This window comes from Homo sapiens, chromosome 5, assembly GCF_000001405.40.
Source record: "Homo sapiens chromosome 5, GRCh38.p14 Primary Assembly".
NCBI lineage: Eukaryota > Metazoa > Chordata > Mammalia > Primates > Hominidae > Homo > Homo sapiens.
The window spans coordinates 40872490-40879008 of NC_000005.10; the positions used below are offsets into that span (position 1 = coordinate 40872490).

The 6519-nt window shown below is 42.8% G+C and overlaps 1 annotated feature.

Moving 5' to 3' along the window:
* Positions 4776 to 5975: an enhancer, noted in NCBI's record as "BRD4-independent group 4 enhancer chr5:40877367-40878566 (GRCh37/hg19 assembly coordinates)". NCBI's record gives its function as "activates an origin of replication core promoter dependent on BRD2, P300/CBP, MED14 and CDK7 cofactors, and independent of BRD4, by STARR-seq in HCT116 cells {active_cell/tissue: HCT116}" and the evidence as "EXISTENCE:reporter gene assay evidence [ECO:0000049][PMID:35650434]".

A 6519-nucleotide genomic window follows, 5' to 3' on the forward strand; every position in this document is an offset into this window, starting at 1 on the left:
CAACCTCTGACCTAGCAACTGATGTTATCTATAGATTCCAGACATTGTATGGAAGGACACTGTGAAACCTCCCGTTCTGTTCTGTTTCACTCTGACCACCAGTGCATGCAGCCCCTGTCATGTACCCTTTGCTTGCTCAAATAGATCACGACCCTCTCATGTGAACCCCCTTAGAGTTGTGAGCCCTTAAAAGGAACAGGAATTGCTCACTCAGGGAGCTCGGCTATTAAGACAGGAGTCCTGCTGATACTCCCGGTCGAATAAACCTCTTCCTTCTTTAACTCGGTGTCTGAGGAGTTTTGTCTGTGGCTTGTCCTGCTACAGAGGCGGGAGGATCACCTGAGTTCAGGAGTTTGAGACCAGTTTGGCCAACATGGTGCAACCCCATTTCTACTAAAAATACAAAAATTAGCCAGGTGTGGTGGTAGGCGCCTGCAATCCCAGCTACCACGGAGGCTGAGGCAGGAGAATGGTGTGAACCCAGGAGGTAGAGGCTGCAGTGAGCCGAGATGGTGCCAATGCATTCCAGCCTGGCGACTGAGAGAGACTCTGTCTCAAAAAAAAAAAGCAAGCTAGGCAGTGGCAGGTCATTATTTAACTATGTTTATTCTTTAGTAAAGGTCAGGCCCTTTCCATAATTCTAACCTGAGACCTATTGTTAGTTTTCACAAATATGGTTGCAATTTTTGAAAATGATGGGGATCAGTTCAAAGAAAGGACTGTTATGGCCTCAGCACAAGAATAAGCAAAAGTGGCCAGGCATAGTGGCTCACACCTGTAATCTCAGCACCTTGGGAGGCCAAGGCAGGCAGATTGCTTGAGGCCAGGAGTTCGAGACCAGCCTGGGCAACATGGTGAAATCCCGTCTCTACCAAAAAATTAGCCAGACATGGTGGCACATGCTTGCAATCCCAGCTACTCGCAAGGCTGAGGCATGAGAATCACTTGAATCCTGAGGGCAGAGGTTGCAGTGAGTCAAGATCACCCCACTGCACTCAAGCCTGGGTGACAAAGCCAGTCCCTGTCTCAAACAAAAATGAGAACAAAAACAAAAAAGCAAGAAGATAGAATGAAGTCATATATTTATAGGCTGAAAGGAAGAAGCTAGAAAGGGAGAGGAAGGGAAAGTGTAAGACAGAATGTCATAATTGGTAGGGCAACATCTCAGAAGAGGTGGAAGTAATAGAATTGACAGCCTGTTGAAAAAAATGAACTTAGAAAAGGAAAGGGAATTTGTCTTCTGATACTGAAAGGAGGAGGAGATGGATGATAGACTTACAAGTGAGTTTGAGGGTTGGGGAGAAGGAAAGTGATGGAGTTGCCTTCTGCAGGTCTTTGCTTCCTGTTTTTCTCAGGGAAGTAAGAGGAGAGGTTATTTGCTAAAAATGAATGGGTCAAAGATGAATAATGGCTATTGAACATTTACTATGTGCCACAGAGGGCTTTGCATACAAAATCATGCACAATCCTTTTGATAGCCCTATTACAATTCTGCTATACAGATGGGCACATTGATGCTCCATTGGATTCTCCTGTGCTCAGTCTCTAGCATCTATTCTGAGGTTCCTTCTCTATTTCTCCACTTCAGTGATATCCCTCAGTGGCCTGACTGTAAATATTATCTGCAAGACTCACCTCCAGATCTACACTTCTAGTCCTGACTTGTGCTGCAAATTCCACCCAATAGTTTATCTTGCATTTCCAAAAAGGGCTCTTGATAGGAATCTCAAAACTACCATGGACAAAATAGAACTCTTCCTAACCCTGCACCCCAGCCTCCCCACAACCTGTCAAAATAATGCTAAAAATTCAGAAATTATCTTGAAAGTGTATCTTCCCTTTCTTTTCCAACTCACTTCAACCCCATCCCAAATCATCAAGAAGTCTTGTCAATTTAATTTCCCTAGTATATTTTGAGACCATCCACCTCTTTAACATCTCCACCACCACCACTAGTCTAGTCCACCAGCTCTTCGTACATGGACCACTGCAACAGTGTTCTAACTGCCATCCCTGCTTTCACTATTGCCTCCCTGCAACCCATTCTCTGCATTTCAACCAGATTGAGGTATGTGTGTATACACGGGGAAATTTAAAAACATATATATAATATAAAAAATTAGCCAGAAGTTGTGGCATGTTCCTGTAGTCCTAGCTACTTGGGAGGTTGAGGTGGGAGGATTGCTTGAACCTAGGAGTTTGAGGCTGCTGTAAGCTATGATTGCACCACTGCATTCCAGTCAGGGCAACAGTGAGACCCTGTATTAGAAAAACAAAACAGAGGCTGGGTGAGGTGGCTCACGCCTGTAATCCCAACACTTTGCGAGGCCAAAGCTGGCAGATCATGAGGTCAAGAGATTGAGACCATCCTGGCTAACATGGTGAAATCCCATCTCTACTAAAAATACAAAAATTAGCTGCGCATGGTGGCACGTGCCTGTAGTCCCAGCTACTTGGGAGGCTGAGGCAAGAGAATCACTTGAACCTGGGAGGCGGTGGTTGCAGTGAGACGAGATCATGCCACTGCACTCCAGCCTGGTGACAGAGCGAGACTCCATCTCAAACAAAAAAAAAAAAAAAAAGAAAAACAAAACAGAACAGAACAAAACAAAACCAACAACTACCACCACCACTACCACCAACAAAAACACAAAAAACCCCACACACATAAATAGAATAGTATATCACTTTTCTTTATGCTACCACAGCAGTTCCAAAAGTTATCAATAATTTCCCCATCTTTATCTATTTTCCCAATAACACATTTTCTTTTTTTTCTTTTAAGTATTTTAAAGCAAATCCAAGATATATCATTTCAACCATAAATGTTTCAGTAGATATCTCCAACAGGTATGAATTTTAAAGAGTAAAACCAGTATGGAATAATTACACCTAAAAATGATCAATTATTTCTCAATATATGCTTTGTTATTTAATTATCATTAAATTAAACACATTGCATTTGGTTGGTATGCCTCTCTAGCTTTTTTTTTTTTGTTGTTGTGTTTTGTAAGACTATACTAGTATACCCATTTTATCCATTTGTTTTTGGAAAATAAAATGTTATTTATCCTGTAGAATACTCCACTTTCTGTATCTAGCTAATGGATTCCTTGTAGTGTTGTTAAACATGTTCTTCTAACCTCCAAATTTTCTGTAAACTGGTAGGTAGAGCTTGAGGCTTAGTAAGATCCGGGTTCAATTCATTTGGAAAGAATACCTCATAGGTTGTACTGGGCTTTTCCTATTGCATGACATCAGGCGGCACAAGTCTTGTTAAGATTGATGAGTATTTTCAAGTCAAAATCATTTCTAAAAAGTTTTAAATCACATCACTTATATATTTCTTGATTAAAACTATCTAGTGGCAACTAATTGCACTTAGAATGAAATCCAAATTCTGCAATTTAATTTGCAAAACACTAAACGGGCTGGGTGCAGTGGCTCATGCCTATAATCCCAGCACTTTGGGAGACCTAGGAAGGTGGATGGCTTGAGCCCAAGAGTTTGAGACAAGCCTTGGCAACGTGGCGAAACCCCATCTCTACAGAAAGTAAAAAAAATTAGCTGGGCATGGTGGCATGCGACTGTAGTCCCAGCTACTTGGGAGGCTGAGGTGGGAAGATCAGTTGAGCTCAGGGGGTCAAGGCTGCTGTGTCATGATTGCACCACTGCATTCCAGCCTGGGTGACAGAGCAAGACCCTGCCTCAAAAAACAAAACAAAACAAAAAAACAAAACAAAAAAAAAAACAGCCCCCAGCCCCCACCCACCAAACCAAAAACAAAGCACTACATGACCTGACCTGGACTGAATGTGTCTCCAAGCAGCATCTCATACCACTCATCCCTTTATTCATAAAATCTAGCCACATTGCATTCACAGTCTTCCCAAAAGAAGACTTCCATCTAAAATGTTCTCCCCGCTGGCTGCGGTGGCACATGCCTGTAATTCCAGCACTTTGGGAGGCCAAGGCGGGTGGATCACCTGAGGTCAGGAGTTCGAGACCAGCCTGGCCAACATAGTTAAACCCCGTCTCTACTAAAAATACAGAATTAGCTGGGCATGGTGTCACGAGCCTGTAATCCCAGCTACTCGGGAGGCTGAGGCAGGAGAATTGCTTGAACCTGGGAGGCAGAGGTTGCAGTGAGCTGAGATCATGCCACTGCACTCCAGCCTGAACAACAAGAGTGAAACTCCACCTCTGTAATCCCAGCATTTTGGGAGGCTGAGGCAGGTGGATCATGAGGTCAGGAGTTCGAGACCAGCCTGACCAACGTGGTGAAACCCCATCTCTAATAAAAATACAAAAATTAGCCAGGTGTGGTGGCCCGTGCCTATAATCCCAGCTACTCAGGAGGCTGAGGCAGGAGAATCACTTGAACCCGGGAGGCAGAGGTTGCAGTGAGCCAAGAGGGAACCACTGCATTCCAGCCTGGGCCACAGAGTTTGCTTTGTTTTCAAAAAACAAACAAACAAGCAAAAACTCCATCTCAAAAATAAAAAAAAAAAAATAAAATGCTCTTCTGCTCCTATTTTGGCATGATCTGCTCCTCCTTGTCATTAATAGTCAGATAACATATTTCAGATTCATTTTTCTTGTCATTCAGATTTCCCTGACCACTCCCTTTAGAGTATCTACCCTGTCATTCTCTATTACATCACCTTATGCTAATTCTCTGCATATAACTTTCTACATTTGCCTTTTTTTTGGTTTATTTATATGCTTGTAGTTTTCTTCTCCCAACATCTCAAATTATAAGTTTCATGGGTCCTTTAGTACCCAACATGAAAACATTTATATCGTGTTTTACTCCACGTTCGTTATTTCAATCAAACCTGAATCTTGTCTCTAGATGAACTGTCACCACATTCAGATTCTTTTATAACTTGTTCAAATGTTTAGGGTCTTTTCATTTATAGTCTCACTACTCAAAATGTGGCCCTCAGATCAGCAGCATTGACATCACCTGGGAGCTTTTTAGAAACATAGACTCTGTTATAAATAAAGTTTTGGTGCCACAAAATAAATGGCACTCAAATATAAAATTTTCTTTTTTTCTTCTCAGCAAGGCAATTTACTCCTATAGAAGGGTGCACCCTCACAGATGGAGCAATGGTGAGTGCACAGCTGGACAAGGGAGGGGAAGGGGTTCTTATTCCTGAGGCATGTGGCCCCTGCTGCTGTGTCGTTCCCCTGTTGGCTAGGGTTAGACCGCACTGGCTAAACAAATTCCGATTGGCTAATTTAAAGAGTGACAGGGTGAGTGGTACGGTGGGAAAAATGGTTATGGCAGAGTGGAAATCTGAATGAGTCAGGGTGGGGAATGAGTCAGGGCAGAGCAGGTAATCAGAGTGAGTCAGGGTGGAGCAGGTAATCAGAATGAGTCATGGTGGAGCAGGTAATCAGAATGAATCAGGATGGAGCAGGTAATCGAAAAAGATTGCTTTACGAGGAAATTAAGTTTAAAAGTAGAAGGCAAAGAATTGAACATACTGACATACTGATTCTTTGAAGAGAAATTCAGAACTCATATCTAACAACTCTCAGGCTACATCCCAGATTATGATTTAAATAATAATCTCAACGTGAATGATACCTGGAGGTTACTTGTTCACCTAAAGTTTGAGAAGCACTGGCATGTAGTCAGTAACTATTAGCCCTAATCTGTGCCTCTCTGTAATGCAACTCTAATGTACCTTATTTACCTAATTTCTTTCTTTCTTTTTTTTTTTTTAGACGGAGTCTCGCACTGTTGCCCGGGCTCTAGTGCAGTGGCGTGATCTTGGCTCACTGCGATCTCTGCCTTCCGGGTTGAGGCCATTCTTGTGCCTCAGCCTCCCGAGTAGCTGGGACTACAGGCACTTGCCACCACGTCCAGCTAATTTTTTGTATTTTTTAGTAGAGACGGGGTTTCACATGTTAGCCAGGATGGTCTCAATCTCGTGACCTCGTGATCCGCCCGCCTCGTCCTCCCAAAGTGCTGGGATTACAGGTGTGAGCCACAGCGCCCTGCCTATTTACCTAATTTCTAGAGAAGTCAAATTATTCATTGATGGCCTTCCAAACACACCCAGAGCTGTACCACTCCTACCTCTGAAATACCTTTTCTCTTCTCCTTCAAATATCAAATTATTTCCTTTTATTTTAGGTGAAGACTTTTCAGAGCATCATACTCGCTGGAGACCTTTTTTTCTCTTCACTGCCTTGCACTGTTACCTGCTTAGGTAATTCTTTCCCCACCCCTTGAGGAGGGAGGACATTCTCCTGTGTGTCTTATTACCCTTTTTCAAGATGTAGGCCTTTAACATAATAGGTTTTTATTATATATGTATGAGGCTTCTATTTCATTGTTTCCTAAACAATATTATTCTAAGTCTTGGAGTAGTTCCCTACAGAACTGCATAAAATAATATTGATTGGGCCGGGTGCGGTAGCTAATGCCTGTAATCCTAGCACTTTGGGAGGCTGAGGCAGGTGGATTACTTGAGGTAAGGAGTTGAGACCAGCCTGGCCAAC